Raw genomic sequence first — 19,920 nt, 5'->3', positions numbered from 1 at the left:
TGCTCTTCCTCCACTGCCATTCTCCATTAATGACACTGCCAGTCACCCAGTCTCCCAATAATGAATGGCATGCTGGACTCCTCCTTTTCTTCTCATTTCCAAATGGTGATCAAGTGCTCTCTGCACCCCTCCTAAGTATCTTCCAAATTCCTACTCATCATCCCTGTCATCACCACTGTAGACTAAGCCACCAACCTCTCTTATCAATATTATTTATAGGCTTCTAGCTACTCCTCCTGCCTCCTCCCTCTTGCCCAGTCCCCACCCCAATCCATCCATCGCTTCTGGTCATGTCACTCCCTGGTTCAGACATCTTTGGTGATTCTGCCGGGCATAGTGGCATACACCTGTAATCCCAGCATTTTGGGAGGCTAAGGTGGGCAGATTGCTTGAGCTCAGGAATTCAGAACCAGCCGGGGCAACATGGTGAAACCCTGTCTCTAGAAAAAATACAAAAATTAGCCAGGTGTGGTGGTGCATGCCTGTCTGTAGTCCCAGCTACTCGGGAGGCTGAGGTGGGCAGATGGCTTGAGCCCTGAAGGTTGAGGCTGCAGTGAGCTGAGATTATACCACTGTACTCCAGCCTGGGCAACAGAGTGAGACACTGTTTCAAAATTTTATATATATATATATTTATTTATTTATTTATTTTAGTGATTCTCCCCTTAAGGGAATAAACAACAAGCCAGGGATGACCCTAGCCTCTAGCCAAGATCACTCTCCTAAACTCTGGACTTGTATAATCAATTTTGTTCAGGATTATTTTGTTATAAACCCAGTTTAACTGAGCTACATCCAAAAAGAGAATTTTACTGGGTAGCATAACTGAAAAGTCCAGGGATATGGGGTTTCAGGCATAGCTGGATTAAGGTACCTAAAAAGGAATGGACTTTTCTCCATCTTTTGCTCTGCCTTCTTTTGGTGGGCTTCATTGGCAGAAGGCCTCCCATTTTATTAGGGGCAAGATGCCCCCAGCAGCTACAGGCTTACATCCTACCAACTTAGCAACTTAAGTGTAATAGAAAGAGGAGCCTTTCTCTTTCCCAGTAGTTCCAGCAAAATAACAAAGTTTGGGTCTTATTGGCCTGGCTTTGTTCACATTGCCTGTTACTGCACAGAGGTACCTGTTCTGACTGGCCAAGTCTGAGTTATATACTTTGGTCAGGGATGAGGGAGTTGGCTGAGAGAGGAGAGAGAATGTTCCTTAAAAGAAAATTGAATGAGAAGTGGTATCCAAGCAGATACCAGGGATGAGCCCTGAAGGTAAAAATTAGATATCTACTAGGCCAACTGCCTCCAGACAGCTTCTTATGGTGTCCCACAAATTTATAATAACCAAAATTGAACTTGTCATCTTTCTCCCAAAAGACTTATTCCTTCTGGTTGCAAATTAATCTTTTTCCAGTATCCTGCTGTTGCTCTTCCCTATCAGTAAAATCAACACTGTTATTGCCCTAGCTGTTCCACAGTGCACATAGTAGGTACTCAGTAAATATTTTTATTGTATAAATCAATAACTTTATGATGGACTGGTGGAGTAGAGAGTCTTGAATAGCTATGATAGGGACATGTCACCTTTACCTCCTGGATCCTTATATCTGACTGGAGAAAACAAATTAAACCATACCTAGGGCCGGGCACAGTGGCTCACGCCTGTAATGCCAACACTTTGGGAGGCCAAGGCGGGCGGATTGCTTGAGGCCAGGAGTTTGAGACCAGCCTCATGGCCAACATGGTGAAGCCCCATCTCTACTAAAAATACAAAAATTAGCTGGGCATGGTGGTGCATGCCTATAATTCCAGCTTCTTGGGAGGCTGAGGCATGAGAAATGCTTGAACCCAAAGGCGGAGGTTGCAGTGAGCCGAGATTGCGCCACTGCATTCCAGCCTGGCAGGAAGATTATCTCTCAAAAACAAAGCAATAAGTACCAAGAAATAGCAACAAAAATTAGCTTGTAAGGTTGGTTTCTGAGGGTAGAAATGGCTCTTGATGCCATGTGGAGCAATGGGAAGGAGGCTTTCTAGTTACACAGACTCTTGGTCCTGCCACTTATTCATTTTATTTTATTTTATATTTTACTTTAAATTTTTTGAGATAGGGTTTCACCCTGTCGCCCAGGCTGGTGGGCAGTGGCTCACTGCAGCCTCGAACTACCAGGCTGAAGTGATGCTCTTACCTCAGCCTTTCGAGTAGTTGGGACAACAGGTGCACACCACCATTCCTGGCTAATTAAAAAAATTTTTTTGTAGAGACAGGAGTCTTGCTATGTTGCCCAGGCTGGTCTTGAATACCTGGGCTCAAACAATCCTCCCACCTCGGCCTCCCAAAGTGCTGAGATTACAGACGTGAGCCACCAAACCTGGCCCACTTACTCATTTTATGACCTGAGATGGGCAATATCACCTTTCTTGGTCTTAGTTTTCTCATCTGTAAAGTGGCGAGAGTGGGACTTATTTCATAAAGTCTTGGGAACACTTCAATAAAGGAATATATGTAAAATGCTTAATATGTAGTCAGCATCAATAAATATAAGTTCAAAACCCTTTCCCACACTTCTTTTGAAACTTCTAATGCCGGGTGCTGTGGCTCACGCCTGTAATCCCAACACTTTGGGAGGCTGAGGCGGGATGATTGTTTGAGCTCAGGAGTTTGAGAACAGCCTGGGGAACATAGCAAGACCTTGTCTCTATTAACAACAACAGCAACAGCAACAACAACAACAACAACAACAAGACATTTCTAGGGGCCAAGGAGAGTTCTGTGCCTACAGTGGGTGTTTAACGTCTGTTTGTTTGGATGAATTCCAGTTTTATTTACAGACTCTGTGATGCTGATGTTGAGGGTTAGAGGCAAGCATTATGAAGTGAGGGAGAGTCTCAGAAGATAACCTTTTTTTGAAAATAAAGTTTAAAAACAGCAGGGTGCGGTGGCTTATGCCTGTAATCCCAACACTTTGGGAGGCTGAGGCAGGCAGATCACCTGAGGTCAGGAGTTCAAGACCAGACTGGCCAACATGGTGAGACCCTGCCTCTACTAAAAATATAAAAAATTAGCTAGGCGTGGTGGCATGTGCCTGTAATCCCAGCTACTCAGGAGACTGAGGCAGGAGAATCACTTGAACCTGGGAGATGGAGGTTGCAGTGAGCCGAGATTGCGCCACTGCACTCCAGCCTGGGCGACAGAGTGAGACTCTGTCTCAAAAACAAAAACAAAAACAAAAATTACATGTTCATGATAAAAAAAAAAAAAGCAATAGTGAGGAAGAATAAAAAAGTCCCCTTTCCCATTCCTATCTCCCTGTAATTTTTCCTTTTCATTTCAAAATATATGTGTTAATTTTTTTTAGAGACAGGGTCTATCTATGTTGCCCAGCCTGGAGTGCAGTGGCTATTCATATTGCAATCATACTGCAGCTTTGAACTTCTAGACTCAAGTGATCTCCTGCCTCAGCCTTCTGAATAGCTGGGCTTACAGGCATGCACGAGCACTCCCGGTTTATGTATTGATTTCTAAAAAGGAAATAGATATAAGTGGTAAAAATTTCAAACCAAAAAAACTCCCACCCCATCTCATTCCCATCTTCAGTATCCTTTCCCAAGAGTAACTTCTGTAATAATTTATAAACATTTCTTGCATATATCATCATTTTATCTATATATTTGGTTTCTTATTTACACAAAAGATGGGACTGTGGATCATGAAGGTCTTTAAACACCACAAGGAGCTTAGATGTTTATTATGTTGGCATCAGTGAACCACGTATTTTAAACAGAACAATAAAATGGTCAGTTTTTAATATTATCACATAGACTTTTAAAGGGGTTATAGTCCTAGTGCATAGTAGCAGGTACTAAAAAAATTGAATGAATAAACTTTAAAAAACATATTGTGAGTACAGCATGAGGTCAAGGTAAAGTAAAGACTATTTCTTTACTGTTCACAAACACCTAGGACCTTTAGGCCATTTAGGGACCTGGGTTCACAGCTAATAACACTCAGAGGAGGGAGCTATGGGATGGAAGAGGGTCTCAGCCCTGGTCAAGGTGGAAAAGGAATAGAAATAACTTGGAGTGAGTACCTACAGTGCACTGGGTGCACATCACCTCATGGAATCCTTGTACCCCTATCCCACCAGTTAGGGATTAGTTCCATTACTAGAATGAGGAAGGTGAGGTGCATGACTTGACTGACTTGTCCATAGCCACCAGCAAATAGTGAGCTTTCAGTTCTCTCCTACCTCCACTCTTATCGTCCTCCAGTTTGTCTCCAGACAGTAGCCAGAGGGATCATTTTAAAACACAAAACAGGCCGGGCGCAGTGGCTCATGCCTGTAATCCCAGCGCTTTGGGAGGCTGAGGTGAGTGGATCACTTGAGGTCAGGAGTTTGAGACCAGCCTGGGCAACATGGCGAAATCCCATCTCTACAAAAAATACAAAAATTAGCCAGGTGTAGTGGGGCATGCCTGTAGTCTCAACTACTCAGGAAGCTGAGCTGAGGTGGGAGGATGGCTTGAGCCTGGGAGGCAGAGGTTGCAGGGAGGCAGAGGTTTCAGTGAGCTGAGATGGTGCCACTGCACTCCAGCTGGGGTGACAGAGCCAGACCCTGTCTCAAACAACAACAATAACACACAGAACAGATGGTTTCACATTCTTGCTTAAAACTCTCTAGTAGTGGGCTGGGTGCGGTGGCTCACACCTGTAATCCCAGCACTTTGGGAGGCTGAGGCAGGTAGATCACCTGGGGTCAGGAGTTCGAGACCAGCCTGGCCAATATGCTGAAACCCTGTTTCTACTAAAAATACAAAATTACTCAGGCATGGTGGCATGTGCCTGTAATCACAGCTACTGGAGAGGCTGAGGCAAGAGAGTCGCTTGAACCCAGGAAGCGGAGGGTGCAGTGAGCCAGGATTGTGCCATTGCACTCCAGCCTGGGCAACAAGAGCGAAACTCCATCTCAAAAACAAACAAAAATAGCCTCTCGAGTAGTGACCTCCCATAGTCCTTAGGGTAAAACCCAAGCTTCTCCCCAGGCTAGTAGAGCCCCACATATCTTCCTTTTTTTTTTTTTTTCTTTTGAGACAGAGTCTCACTCTGTCACCCAGGCTGGAGTGCTGTGGCGCGATCTCGGCTCACTGCAACCTCCACCTTGTGGGTTCAAGTGACTGTCATGCCTCAGCCTCCCAAGTAGCTGGAATTAGAGGCACACATCACCATGCCCAGCTAATTTTTGTATTTTTAGTGGAGCCGGGGTTTCACCATGTTGGCCAGGCTGGTCTCAAACTCCTGACCTCAAGTGATCCACCCGCCTCGGCCCCCCAGAGTGCTGGGATTACAAGATTGAGCCACTGCGCTCAGTATGTATCTGGCCTAGCTTCCACCCTTACTACTCTTTCCCCATGCCTGCTACACCAGAGCCGCCCAGGCCTTGGTTATTTTTTTTTCTAATGTGCCAAGCTCATTCCCACTTTAGGGCCTTTGCATCCACTGTTCCCTCTTTCCAGAACATTCCACACACATACTCTTTGCTCTACATTATAGCTGGCTCCTTCTCATCCCTTAGTTTTCAGCTTAAAAGTCACTTCCTGAGAGGCCTTCCCTGATTTCTGCAGCTAAGGAATCCTCCCTCCCCTACCACCATTATTCTGTCATTTCCTCCTTTTTCTTCATAGCACCTGCCACAACTTGTAATTATAGACTCCTTTGCTTATTGGCTTTTTCTTCCAGGGCTCTATGAACCACATGAGGGCAGGAACTATCTGTTCCCGTCCCCTGGCACCTAGCATAGGGCTCTCCATATTTAAGGAATGAGTGAGCTGATAACTGAAGTGAGGTTGGAAGGCAGGGTCCCTCCACTCTGTTTATGTAGCTGCCTCCTTGCATGGAAGGCTGGGCCCCAACTGGGGCAGGATCCGATTTCCACTGAGGGCTGGAACCCCCACCCCACCCCCCAGGAAGTGTTCTCAGCCCTGGGCCCTGGGTGCCAGGAAATTTGGCCTAGGTATCAGGGAGGGGCGGGAATCCAGCCTCCCTGCTGCCCAGCTGGGGAGGTCCCTGTCTCTTCCTAGCCGGGCACCGTTGCCCCGCCTGTCCTGGGGTGCACGCGAAAATGAGGAAAGGTGAGTAGTGCTAGCCAGTGCGGGGATTGTGTGGCAGGGGCGGGGCAGGGAAAGCGCTGAATAGTCCCACCTGGAGGGTGGGCAGGGCCAGATAGGAGATGCCCAGACCGACCCCGGCTGCCTGCCCGCAGACCCGGACTCCTTCCTGAAGTCTGCACGGCTGCAGCGGCTGCCATCGTCGTCGTCGGAGATGGGCAGCCAAGACGGGTCGCCGCTACGCGAGACGCGCAAAGACCCGTTCTCCGCCGCAGCGGCCGAGTGCTCCTGCCGCCAGGATGGGCTCACGGTCATCGTCACGGCCTGTCTCACCTTCGCTACCGGTGTCACCGTGGCGCTGGTCATGCAGATCTACTTCGGGGACCCCCAGGTGAGGGGGACAAATGGGGAGGGGGAGGAAACTGGGGAGTGGGGAGTGGGGTAATGTTTGAGGAACTGTGGAAACTGGGGAATGGCTGAGTGGTAGAAGGGGAGAGAGGGTGGTGACTTGGGAGAGGAAGGTCCCAAAGAGAGGAGCTCCAGGGCATGAGGGAGACAGAACAAGGAAGAATAAGGACAGATCCATTAGGAGGCACTTGGGGTAATGAGGGCAGAGTCAAGGCAACAAGGGGGCAGGGCTTCGACCTTCATGCCGCGTAGAGTTCTAGGGCTAGTGGAGGTGCCCTAGGGAGGTGGACAGCTCCTCCTGCCCCCACCAAGTCCTCTTTCCCCTCCCAGATCTTCCAGCAGGGTGCCGTGGTGACCGATGCTGCCCGCTGCACTTCACTGGGCATCGAGGTGCTCAGTAAACAGGGATCTTCTGTGGACGCAGCGGTGGCAGCAGCCTTGTGTTTGGGTATCGTGGCTCCACACAGTTCTGGCCTGGGCGGGTAAGGAGCAGTGGAGGTCGGGGTCCCCCAGGCCTACTTCTTGCCTCCAGGTCTGTAGGCCTCATGTGCAGCACTCCTAACTTAGGGAGAGGGGCTTTTGGGCCCCAACTCCTTGCATTTTCTCTTTCTACACCAAATTTCACCCCCTTCTCCCTGGATGGAGTCAGAAGAGCAAAGCTACCTTATGGAAAACCTGAAAGTGTTTTCAGAAGCTTTTTTTTTTTTTTTTTAACTAGAAAAAGAAATTTGTAAACCATAAATTAAGATGCACAGGTGGAGGTATACTGTCATCAATTAAGGCAGAGATATTTCAACTTCTAGGATCATAAATCCCTATGGGTCTGATGAAAAGCCTTGCACCCTCTGTCCTCCAAAAATACACCCTGCACTAAGAACTCTTAGAAGTTACAAGCTGGCCACCCATGGGCAACACCCAGCACACAGACTGGTTTGGTTTAGACACTGAACTGTCTTAAAATTTTGTTTGCTTTTGTTAAAAAGTTGAGAATTTTCATAAAAATCCAGATTTCCAACATCTCTTGAACAATCGGGAAATCCGATAACAACTTGGGCCCGCATTCTCACATGGCTGAAGTTACCTGGCGTGGAATAGAAGCTGCTTCCCATGATGGGCATGCACTGTCCAGTTTGCCGTAGTTTCTACCACTTCCTCTTCTCTGTCCTGCTTGCCTTAGTTTGTCATTTGGCTGTGGGCATTTAAGTTTGCAGCCCCCATCTTAGACGTAAATAAGCTACAGAAAAGGAACAAGCTGACAAAGTTCCTATCTTGGCTCCTGTAAGACCAGCTCTCCAAGCCGTACCAAAGAAATTCCTCTTTTGGTTTTGCATGTTCTATCCTTACATAATCCAGTCCTGGGGGAGGGGCAAGGGACATACCAAGTAGACAGGTGCAGGAAGCTGGCAGGGGTCCAGCTCTGGTCCAGGGTGGGGGCATGGGGCAGAACATCCTGTTCTGCCAGTCTCTGGGCTTTTCCTAATCAGGGATTAAAGTCTCCAGTGACAGGATAGAAGAGGTCCATGGACCCTGGGTCTCCAACCCTCTTGGTTTTGCTCCCATCCTCTTAGGGTGGCTGAGTCTGTGAATCCATGCTGGGGAGGGAGCTCAGACACCTGACCCCAAATGAAAAACTGAGCCTACAGCTCTCACCACTGGGGGTGGAGGGGCAGCAGATTCATTGTACAGAGGGGTAGCATGTTATCATCACACTTCCCCTTCTGTGTCTCTCCCAGTGGGGGCGTGATGCTGGTACATGACATCCGACGAAATGAGAGCCACCTAATTGATTTCCGGGAGTCCGCACCAGGGGCCCTCAGGGAAGAGACCCTGCAAAGATCCTGGGAGACCAAGGTGGGGACCCTGGTGAGAAGAGAGAGTTCAGGGGAGTCTCTCTTCATTGCCCTTCTGCTAACCCAAGCATTAATTTGCTAAGTATTTACCAGGGGAGTGGGAAAAAGAGTTGAGCAGGATTCTCTTAGGCTATGAGAGAGTCAGGCAGCCCCCAAGATAAAATAATGAACTAGAAAATCTGGAACCTTACTTCTCTGGGAATCTTACCTATCTGGCACGTGGGAAGGAAGAAAAAAGGCTACTGAGTACCCTGAAATGTCACGAAGTTGATGCAATGAAACTCACACATCTCACTCTGAGCCAGTTGACTATAACTTTCCCAGCCCTTGATATATTGGAAGATTAGAGGGGAATTGCCAGAAGTAAACCAACTGTCTGCTGAAAGAAAAAGAAGATATCGAATAACTTGGAAAAATGGGTACTTAGTGCGGTGGCAAAAGCCAAACACACCCCTGAGTCTTCAGAGCTCAGAGTAATGGTGGGGTGAAACTGAATAGGTTAAATGAAGGTCCTTTGTCCACCGTTTTAAAAGGTAGGGTTGCCTGGGCACAGTGGCTCACACCTGTAATCCCAACACTCTGGGAAGCCAAGGCAGGAGGATTGCTTGAGGCCAGGAGTTTGAGACCAGCCTGAGTGACATAGTGAGACTTTGTCTCTACAAAAAATGCTTTGAAATTAGCCAGGCACAGTAGCATGCACCAAGGATCGCTTGACTTGAGCCCAGGAGTTGGAGGCCACAGTGAGCTATGACTATGCCACTGTACTCCAGCCTGGGTAACAGGAAAAAAAAAAAAAAAAAAAAAAAAAGGCAGGGGTTGGTGAAATCCAATGTAGACAGGTGTCTTTCTACACTGGTTATGTCCTGGCTCTTAAAAGAGTTTTGCTTAATTTATAAATCCCCCAACTACGGCAGCTAAAAGAGGCCTTTCTGCATTTGCTGATAGGAAGTCAGGGAGATGGGAGGGGTGCCTGCTTGGGAAAGCTTGTCCCTCCCCTGGGATACTTGGCCTGTGTCTCTCCCCTGTGCCAGCCATCCCTGGCTTGGGGCTCTGCGGAGTTCAGCCCAGCACCCCCCTTCCAGTGACCTGGTCTCCTCTCTCCCTCGCCTACCCGCCTTGCCCAGCCTGGGCTCTTGGTGGGGGTTCCCGGAATGGTGAAGGGGCTACATGAAGCTCACCAGCTCTATGGCAGGTAACAACCCTCCCCCTGGGGACCAGGGACCCCCGTTTGCATCTCTCCTTGGGTGGCCTTCTCCTACTTCCCTGGATTCTTCCTTTCCCAACTCCCCCTCCTAATATCCCCTTCCCTTGCCAGGACTCTCCTTCCCAGGAACCCCCCTCCCCCCGGACCCCTCCTCATTCCCCCAGGACCTCCTCCACCCCCTGCTCTCCGGCCCCCCCAGGCTGCCATGGTCCCAAGTCCTGGCCTTTGCAGCAGCTGTGGCCCAAGATGGCTTCAACGTGACTCATGATCTAGGTCAGTGGGGCCTGGGGATTTGGGAGAGACATGAGGTTGATGGAGAAGGGTAGAATCTTTGAGATTTGGAGCCCAAGCCAGAGAGGCCCTCTCTTCCAGTTTGCTCCTCAGACCCCCTCCCCACCTTATCCCACCCTCACCTGGAGGCGGCCTCAAACGAGGGGGTCTGGGAAGGGCCCTTAGACATCCCTGCCTCGCACTTAACAGGCTCCTGGGGGTCAGGGCACTTAGGGTGGGCCACTCAGCCCCCATCTACCCCATCTATTGCGCGTCTCATCCGGTCCAGTCCTGGCGTCCCGCCCTGCCCAGCCTCCCGTCCCTGCCCCTAGCCCGTGCCCTGGCTGAACAGCTGCCACCCAACATGTCCGAGCGCTTCCGGGAGACGTTCCTGCCATCGGGCCGCCCGCCACTACCTGGCTCGTTGCTGCATCGGCCCGACCTGGCTGAGGTGCTGGATGTACTTGGCACCTCCGGCCCGGCTGCCTTCTACGCAGGTGGCAACCTCACACTGGAGATGGTGGCCGAGGTAAGTGCTCGTGTTGTGCGGGTGGGGGCATGCCCCAAGGTCCCTATTGCAGGACATCCGCGTCCGCATTTTTTCCTTCCTTCCCTCCCTCCCTCCCTTTCTTTCTATATTATTTACTGTGGATTATGTTCATTTGAAATTCTAGAATAGTCAAAACTAACCTCTAGTGACAGAAATCAGATCAGTGGTTGGTGGGGCTGGGAGGAGCTGACTGGGATATGACATGAAAAACCTCCTGGGATGATGGAAGTGTTGTCTTTTTTTTTTTTTTATGAGACGGAGTCCTGCTGTGTCACCCTGGCTGGAGTGCAGTGGTGCGATCTTGGCTCACTGCAACCTCCGCCTCCCAGGTTCAAGTGAGTCTCCTGCCTCAGCCTCCCGAGTAACTGGGATTACAGGTGTGCACCACCACACCCAGCTAATTTTGTATTTTTAGTAGAGATGAGGTTTCACCATGTTGGCCAGGCTGGTCTCGAACTCCTGACCTCAAGAGATCCACCTGTCCTGGCCTCCCAAAGTGCTGGGATTACAGGTGTGAGCCCCCATGCCTAGCCAGAAGTGTTCTGTCTTGATTCAGAGGTACCTTTGGGCTTCTCAGGGGTGATGCCAGCCTGTGCAGGGGCTTGTCATGTCCCTCCCAGGCCTGGTGGAGACCCAGTATCGGCCTCAGCTTCCCTAAGCTCACAATCCTTCCCTGCTTTTGGGTTTTCTAGGGACTGAGGGAAGCACCTCTTTCATTGTTGAGTATCAAGACTGGGGAGATTGACACAGAAGTTTACCATCCAATCCCAAAGAGTCCCAGTCTCAGGCAGTAACAGATGTGAGAACTGTCATTAATAGTGCAAAAGTCCTAATGGAAAATTAAGTTCATGGTAAGGATGCATAGACCAACTCAGTGGTTCTCTCATCTGAGCAATGGGGATGATTATATCTGTCTCTGCCATACAGTTGTGGGAATTAAATAGGTCTGTTATTCATTCAACATTCACAGAGTGCCTGCTCTGTGCCAAGCCCTATGCTGGGCACTGGATGTGGCGATAGACTCAAACAGACTTAACTGGAAAGTCCAGGAGATTACTGGCTTTAGATTCTTCTGTGTCCAGATTATCAATCCACTGTGTTAGGATTTGCTCTCCCTCTTTCTCTTTCTCTCTCTCTCAACTCTACTTTCCTTTGTTTGGATTCACTCTCAGATCCTTTCCACCTGCTCCCCACCAGCCCATATCAGGCCATCCTTCCAGCAAGCTATCCCAGAGAAAGAGCATTTTTCCTTCCCAGTAGTTCCAGCAAAAGCCTCCAGGTTGTGTCTTATTAGCTCATCATAGGTTTCATGACTATTCCCAAATCAATCACTGTGGCACAGAAGGGAATGCCCCAATTGGCCAGGCCTGGGTTGTGTGCCCTTTCCTGGAGGTGGCAAAGGGAATGCAGGAGATTGTAACAAAGACCATCAGATCTTTGATAAAAAGAAACCCAAAGTTGAGTTTATTAACTTGCCAGAAAAAGGAACTCAAGAATTCAAATGGGCCAGGCCATGGTGGCTCATGCCTGTAATCCCCACTTTGGGAGGCCAAGATGGGTGGATCACTTGAGCTCAGGAGTTTGAGACCAGCCTGGGCAACATAGTGAGACCCCATCTCTACAAAACATACAAACATTAGCCAGGTGTGGTGGCATGTGCCTGTAGTCCCAGCTACTCAGGAGGCTGAGGCAGGAGGATCATCTGAGCCTGGGAAGGTTGAGGCTACAGTGAGCCATGATCGTGCCACTGCATTCCAGCCTGGGCGACAGAATGAGACCCTGCCTCAAAAAAAAAAAAAAAAAAAATCAATGTGTAATTCTCTGAAGATAGATAACTCAAGGGTTTCAAGTACTATAAGGTACAAAAAAGGAAAGGATTCAGAGTGGTTATGCTAATTTAGGGTTGACAGCACACTGGATAGGATGGAATGAGCCCATTGGTTTGTACAAGATTGGTTCATTGGTCAATAATGAGGGCTTGGTTATGTCCAATAAGGGTCAGTCCTTCTAGGATCACTCAAAGTCATGGTTTTCTAGTGGCTTTAGTTGGTTGTGGTGAGATGCAGCATTCAGTTTTGGTATCTCCTAGGCAAGTGTGCCATAAGTAGAAAACCTTCCTTTTACATAGGCAGAGAGAGCAGCAGGTACAAAGACACGAAGGCATGAGTTCAGGAACTGCAGGTCACTCTGCAGCTGCATAGAGCTCACTGGGGAACAGCAGGACATGAGGTGGGAGGGGTAGGCTGGGGCCAGATCACAAAAAGTCTTGAATGGCAAGCTAAGGAGGTCATTCATGGAATGTACCCAGTGTGATGCCTGGCACATGATAGGTGCTCAATGTTAGTGCTTTTCCCCCTTCCTTTTTCCTGAGGTGTCTAGGGATAATGGGGTCTCTAAAGGCCACGATGGGGGTTGCAGAAGGCACAGAAGTTATAAACAGCTGATCTGTCTGTGATCCAAACGTGTTATAGGCCAAAACCACCATGTCACAGTGGTGGGAGGTCATTCCCTCATTCTCTTCCCTCCAGGCTCAGCACGCAGGGGGTGTCATAACCGAAGAGGACTTCAGCAATTACAGCGCCCTTGTGGAGAAGCCTGTGTGTGGCGTGTACAGAGGTGACCTCTCCCCCGGCTCCCAGGGTCCCCCCTCAGGAGAAGCCTCCCAGTCCATGGCCACATCGTTTTGGCCTAGAGACTCCTCTCCATTTCACAGGAGAGAAACTAAGGCAGTGAGCTACCTGGGCAGTCAACTGTTGAAGCAAACCAGAGTCAGCCCACCTTCTGAAAAGTAGCTGTGGGGTCAGTTACCCCAAGTATTTAGGATATTGGGGGGTGGACCTGGTCAAAGGGTCCAACCTGGAAGTTGGGGTTCTGGCCATAGGTTTTCTTGATTTGGGCTCTGTGTTGCCTCTGCCCTTTCCCCAGCAGCGCTGTCACTGCCCTGTACTTCCTAAGAATTTTTAAGACAAAGTCCATCCAAGCTTCACAGTAGAATGAACCTTTCAAGACAGTCATAGACCCAGCTCCTCATAGTGCCAAAAAGAAATTGAGGCCCGAGGAGGGAATATAACAACTGGCCAAACTCAAGAAAACCAACAGGGAACCCAGAAAACCAAGCTTATGACATGGGTGGGGTCCATGTTTACTGAACCCAAGGTGGTAGGTGCTGGATTTCTCAGAAGATTCTCAGGTTCTTTCCCTTCTAGGAGAGCCAGATCACATCAAGCCCCAGGAAAGGGTTTCTCTGAGTTCAACTTTCCAGGCCTCAATCTCCAACCTGATTCCTCTGCCAGAGGCAGTGGAATATGAAGCAATGGAAAGAGCCTATCAGCTGGGTGCAGTGGCTCAGGCCTATAACCCCAGCACATTGGGAGGCTGAGGCAGGAGGATCACTTGAGCCCAGGAGTTCATGACCAGCCTGGGCAACATAGTGAGACACCGTCTCTATAAAAAATTTAAAAATTACCCAGGCGTGGTGGTGTACCTATAGTCCTAGCTACTCAGGAGGTTGAGATGGGAGGATTGCTTGAGCCTGGGAGGTCAAGGCTGCAGTAAGCATGATTGTGCCACTGCACTACAGCCTGGGTGACAGAGTGAGACCATTATCACACACACACACACACACACACACAGAAAAGAAAAAAGAACAAGCGTAGCGTTGGAGCTAGGAAGACCTGGGTTTGAGTACCAACTGTGCCATTTACCTTGAACAAGCTACTTCCCACTCTGAGCCTTGGTTCCCTCCTTAAAATGGAAATAATAATAGTGCCTACATCTTAGGATGCCCATAAGGATTTGATGAGATGATGTAGGAAGTTGCCCTGATCAGAGCATGCACTGAATATAGATTTTCCATTTCCCCTTCCCAGCCTGGGTTGTCTCAACAATGCTAGTACCTTGAGTGCTCTGGATTCCCCTTGTCTCTCTGTACCACAGTTTCTGGACCTATCAAATATGTGTGATAACAGTAGCCACAGTGAGGACTAAATGAGTTAATGTTAGTGTTATGCATCAGCTATTATTCCTTTGATGTCCAAACATCTAGTAACAGAATAGGAAGAGAAGGTTGCTGCTGCCAAGAAGTTTGGGGCTGGATGAGACCATCAGGAGTCATGGATAATATCCTGGCCTATGGGAGAGCTAAAAGGAGACACATGACAGGCCAGGAATATGAACATCTGGTCACCTGTTTCTGCTGTGCTCTGCTGATAGCCTGCAGTGTGACTCTGGGCAAGCCACAGCCCTCTTGAGCCTTAGTTTTCTCAAATGGCAGAGGAAACTGAAGACCAGTGTTCTGAGTTCAAGTCCTGGCCCTGCCCTTGACTTGCCATGTGAACTTGAATGAGTCTCTTTGCCTCTCAATGTTTCAGTTTCCCCATCTGGTGAGGGAGTTCAGCGCAGTGGTCTCAGTGTGTGATGGTGGAATGTGGAGATGGGATGTGGGATGTGAAGGTGCCTTGACCCCTACCCTGCCATCAGTCACTTCCTGTCCTTTCAGGCCACCTGGTTCTTAGTCCCCCACCTCCGCACACGGGCCCTGCCCTCATCAGTGCTCTCAACATCCTGGAGGGCTTCAATCTCACCAGCCTGGTATCCCGAGAACAGGCTCTTCACTGGGTGGCAGAGGTAAGGCTGACCCGTCTGCCTTTCCCTGGATTTAAGGATATTAGGAGTGGGGAGATTGGGTACTGCCATAGGGCAGGACTAAATCCCCTCCAAGTTTTCTCACACACGAAAGTCCACTGGGTGTGGGTTCTGGGAGGGGCCTGGCAGCCTCTTCCATATCCCTGCTGTATTTTCAGACCCTGAAGATTGCATTAGCCCTGGCCAGCAGACTGGGAGATCCCGTCTATGATTCTACCATCACTGAGAGCATGGATGACATGCTCAGGTGGGTCTTGGGCAGGACCTGGGGGCTACAGAGGCAGCGGTGGGTGTGGGGAAAGGGTCAGGAGAAAAGCAGCTGGTATAGCAATAAAGGCCTGAAATCCTAAGTCAATTTCAGCTCAACCCCAACTCACAACGTGACACTGGGTGCCTCTCCCTGCACCTCACCTTTCCTATCAGCACAATGAGTTGGCTTACTTCATGTGGCTCTTAAATTTTTTTGAGGCTAGCATAGCACCTATATAAGCCCATCTGCTCCTCCTTTTGAGTAGGAAAAGAAAGCTCAATACCAAACAAAAGCCAGGCACGGTGGCTCACGCCTGTAATCCCAGTACTTTGGGAGGCCAAGGCGGGTGGATCACCTGAGGTCAAGAGTTTGAGACCAGCCTGACCAACATAGTGAAACCCTGCCTCTACTAAAAATACAAAAATTAGCCGGGCGTGGTGGCGCGTGCCTGTAGTCCCAGCTAGTCAGGAGGCTGAGGCAGGAGAATCACTTGAACCCGGGAAGCAGAGGTTGCAGTGAGCCGAGATCATGCCACTGCACTCCAGCCTGGGTGACAGAGTGAGACTTTGTCTCCAAAAACAAACAAACAAACAGTCTCCAAGCAAATACTGAAGGTGGTGGTAATACAGCTTCATTAGCAACATAACATAGTAGTAGCTTGTGGGCTCTGGTGAGACTGCCTTCATTCAAATTCCAGCTTGACCCTTCGCTAGCTGTGCAGCCTTGGGCAAGTGGTTTAAACTCTCTAAATCTGTTTCTACAAGGGGGCTTGACAATAATGGTATCAACCTTGTAAGGTTGTGGTAAGGACTAAACAAAATCATACATGTAAAGCTTTGTTTGGTTGAAAATTGAATAAATGTCTTCAAGTAATCTTTGGTAACTTATTCTCTAATCAGCTATGGATAATCCAACACATAGTTATTAGGTAAGAAACCCTCAGTTGAATTTTTTTTTTTTTTTTTTGAGATGGAGTCTCGCTCTGTCGCCCAGGCTGGAGTGCAGTGTCATGATCTTGGCTCACTGTAACCTCTGCCTCCCAGGTTCAAGCAATTCTCCTGCTTCAGCCTCCCGCCTCAGTTGAATTTTTAAAAGTCTGGAGCATTACATATTGTTTCTAAGGTCAATGCAAACTTTGCTCTAAAACACACACACACACACACACACACACACACACACACACACACCTATATGAAATCTATTCAACCAGTTCATCCAGTAAATAGTTATTGAGCACTTACTCTGTGCCTTGGGAAAAAACTCTAAAAGAAAGTAAAGATCCTGACTGGATGTGGTGGCTCATGCCTGTAATCCCAGCACTTTGGGAGGCCGAGGTGAGTGGATCATTTGAGGTCAGGAGTTCAAGACCGGCCTGGCCAACATGGTGAAACCCCGTCTCTACTAAAAAAAATTAGCTAGGTGTGGTGGCAGGTGCCTGTAATCCCAGATAATCGGGAGGCTGAGGCAGGAGAATCACTTGAACCTGGGAGGCAGAGGTTGCAGTGAGCTGAGACAGCGTCACTGCACTCCAGCCTGTGTGACAGAGAAAAACTCTATCTCATTAGGAAGAAAAAAAAAATCCTCATATACAAAATCCTCCCCCAACTAAACTCTTAATAAAACTTTAGACTACAAACATTAGTTTAAATGAATCCAGTTTGTTAATTCAAAGCAAATATTTTCTGATCCATTATGCACCAGGCACTTTCATAGAAAGGATTAAGAAGTCAGATAACTAAAAGGCTCTTGATTTAAACATTAAATAAAAGTTGGTTCCAGAAAAGAATCTAAATAATACCTAAATACATTCAACAGCTATTTTCTGGGTATTTCTTATGTGCAATTAATGAGCTTCTGCACTCATAGACCTAGTAGTCCAGTGAGGGAGGTAGATTTCATCAAATAATTACACAAACACCACAAAAGTGAGGTAGGTGGGGTGTATTGAGAGCCTGTTGTTTGCTCATCTCCCACCCCTTGTCTTTTCAGCAAGGTGGAGGCCGCCTACCTCCGGGGCCATATCAATGACTCCCAGGCAGCCCCTGCCCCACTCCTGCCTGTCTATGAACTAGACGGAGCTCCCACGGCTGCCCAGGTGCTGATCATGGGACCTGATGACTTCATTGTGGCCATGGTTAGGTATGCCAGCTCAGACTCAGAACCTGGAACAAGGGATCCTCTGAACCAAGAGGGGGTGGGGGCTGGGTAGAGGTGAGGATGGGCCAGGGCTCACCCAACCCCACCTCGGCCCCCAGCTCCCTGAACCAGCCCTTTGGCAGCGGCCTTATCACCCCCTCGGGGATCCTGCTCAACAGCCAGATGCTGGACTTCTCCTGGCCCAACCGGACAGCTAACCACTCTGCACCCAGCCTGGTAGGATTTGCTTCCCTGCTTTCCTGGGGACCCTGAGGCCTATAGGTAGGAGGTGCAATGGCATGGCTGCCCCTTTCTCCCTACTTTCTCCAGAATCTTCTAGTATAAGGAAGCCTAAAGAAGAGGTTCACCTCATCCCTAGCCCTGCTAAGTCTGGGACATGGAGCCTGGTGGGTCTGAAGAACCCTTGTCCCATTCTGTCACTGTCTTACTGTGTGACCTTGTGAAGATCTTGCCCTCTCTGGGCAATTTCTTCACCTGTACAATGAGGGTTTTGGCTCCTATTTGATGTTTTGGGCATTTTCCAGCACTAGCGGTCTGTGACTATGTGAGCTTGAGCTGATGGGGCTCAGCCCTATGGTTGGGCACCAAAGAGGGACCCAAGGAGGAAGGATTTAATAATTTTTATCTAGTTAAAAATCAGCACTCTTACACCCCGCCATCTGGGGCCCCAGCAGGGCAAAGACACATAGAGATGATCAGGGTGGGGTTATCCTGTTCTTCCCCATTGCCATCTTTCTTGGCTTGGTCCTTTCTCCTGTGACCCGTAGCAGCCTCATAGCTCAGTGGATGTACTTATCACTCCCCCATCCACCCCACCCATCCAGGCACCCTACCCATTTCACAGATAGCAAACTGTTGTCTGGGAAGGGACCAGTCTCCCAGGAAAACTGGGCCTGTGGAAGATGTAGAAGAGGGAGAGCAGTTGGAAGGGTTGTGGAGGGGCCCTTTCCCGGTCTTGTCCCACCCCACCTGCCCCTTGTGGTCTCTGTCCTCTAACAACAGGAGAATTCAGTGCAGCCAGGGAAGCGGCCACTCTCTTTCCTGCTGCCCACAGTGGTCCGACCCGCGGAGGGGCTCTGTGGAACCTACCTCGCTCTGGGGGCCAATGGAGCTGCGCGGGGCCTCAGCGGCCTGACACAGGTGAGGTTTACGCCATGGTTGGCCTTTTTCAGCCGGGAGCCAAGCTGTGGCCTAGACTGCAGATGCCTGTCATATCTGTGGCTTGTTTCCATTCCTCATGCGGCAAACATGGGCTGAGGCTGTTTTGTGCCAGGCGCATCCTGGGCAATGTGGACATGGGCTGCGCTGAGTTTCTTAGTGAAAATGGAGCCCTGATGCTCCCTGTCTTTCCCGGTTGCAGGGGAAATGGCAGGGTCAGTAGATTGAAAAGTGGGGTTAGCATCTGGGTGGCCTGGGTTCTGTTAACCTCAAGTCCCATTATACCTCTACCCAGCATCTGAATAGACAACCAGCCCTCTTTAGGGTGGGATTTGAAAGGAAGGGCCTGCTTTTCTCCAGAACACCTCAGAATGGCTCCATGAATGTCTTGAGAACCTGATATATATGCCAGGCACCTATTTTGGCAGGTGGTGAGTTAACGATCTTAAGTTCTGGAATCAGACACTCCTGGGTTCCGGCCCAAGTGCTACCAATTTGTAACTGTGTGATGCTGGAGCATTCACTTAACAGCTCTGAACCTCAGTCTCTTCATCTTTAAAATGGAAATAATAACAATAGCTAACATTTAAAGAGTTCGTACTAAGTGCTGGGCACTGTGTTATGTGTGTTAACCATTTTAACCTTCCCAGTTCTGGAGAGAATCCTTATTTCTATTTTATAGATAAGGAAACCGAAGCCCAGAGAGGTTAAGACTTTAGGTCAAGTACCTTCAGCTAGAAAGAGCAGGGAGGCAGTTTGGTTCCAGAGCCTACGCACACTCCTAACCACTAAGTTAAAAGCACCCACATTGTGCCCTAGACCACTCCTAGCTATTAACCTTGCCCTATCCAGAGAGAAAAGAAGGGAGCCCCGGGCTAGATTAAAGAGACTTGGTTCTAGTGGTGTATCTTCCCTGGCTTCCTCTAAACTCTGGAGTAAGTCATTTTCCTTGCTGGACTTCACTTTCCCTCTCTGTGAAATGGAAACAGTCATCACAGGCCTGCCTGTCTTCCAGGGCTGTTAGGAGGCTCAGATGACACCCGGTGTAAGAATTCTCAAGACTAAGGAGCCTGGACCAAGGGTGAGAGCTGAGGAATCCTGGACCATCACCCCTGGGACAGCCCTGATTTTTCTGTACCTTGGCTACCACAGGTTCTGCTGAATGTCCTGACCTTGAACCGGAACCTGAGTGACAGCCTGGCCCGCGGCCGCCTACACCCGGACCTGCAGTCCAACCTCCTGCAGGTGGACAGTGAGTGCAGAGCAGAGACCTCGTGGGGCGGGCACAGGGACAGGTAGAGAAAGGACTCCTCCCAAGGGTGCCCATGCCTCAACC

General features: G+C 49.2%; 1 protein-coding gene across 11 annotated transcripts in view, besides 1 other annotated feature; it reads left to right on the top strand.

The window, feature by feature from the left end:
• Positions 1–19,920, top strand: part of GGT7 (gamma-glutamyltransferase 7) — a 28,137-nt gene that overhangs the window by 3,060 nt on the left and 5,157 nt on the right. For 2 of the 11 annotated variants that reach the window (XR_001754240.2, NM_178026.3), the window contains exons 2-14: positions 6,249–6,484; positions 6,832–6,983; positions 8,235–8,352; positions 9,476–9,543; positions 9,755–9,828; positions 10,158–10,354; positions 12,904–12,991; positions 14,874–15,001; positions 15,178–15,266; positions 17,259–17,408; positions 17,525–17,642; positions 18,429–18,566; positions 19,737–19,836. Coding sequence is in view for 10 of the 11 variants with exons in the window: in NM_178026.3 (NP_821158.2) it covers positions 6,249–6,484; positions 6,832–6,983; positions 8,235–8,352; positions 9,476–9,543; positions 9,755–9,828; positions 10,158–10,354; positions 12,904–12,991; positions 14,874–15,001; positions 15,178–15,266; positions 17,259–17,408; positions 17,525–17,642; positions 18,429–18,566; positions 19,737–19,836 (1,656 nt within the window). In the remaining variant the exon portion in view is untranslated. Of the gene's footprint in view, positions 1–5,312; positions 6,118–6,248; positions 6,485–6,831; positions 6,984–8,234; positions 8,353–9,410; positions 9,544–9,666; positions 9,829–10,114; positions 10,355–12,903; positions 12,992–14,873; positions 15,002–15,177; positions 15,267–17,258; positions 17,409–17,524; positions 17,643–17,735; positions 18,214–18,428; positions 18,567–18,879; positions 19,837–19,920 lie in introns of those variants that run through there. The other 9 variants (XM_047440109.1, XM_047440107.1, NM_001351702.2 and 6 more) reach the window with 9 other exon arrangements.
• Positions 6,213–6,764: an enhancer, noted in NCBI's record as "H3K4me1 hESC enhancer chr20:33450836-33451387 (GRCh37/hg19 assembly coordinates)". NCBI's record gives its function as "activates a minimal SCP1, AML or CMV promoter by ChIP-STARR-seq in primed H9 embryonic stem cells {active_cell/tissue: H9 hESC(primed)}" and the evidence as "EXISTENCE:reporter gene assay evidence [ECO:0000049][PMID:30033119]".

This window comes from Homo sapiens, chromosome 20 (genome assembly GCF_000001405.40).
Source record: "Homo sapiens chromosome 20, GRCh38.p14 Primary Assembly".
Lineage (NCBI taxonomy): Eukaryota > Metazoa > Chordata > Mammalia > Primates > Hominidae > Homo > Homo sapiens.
This window is presented reverse-complemented; position numbering and strand designations above follow the sequence as displayed.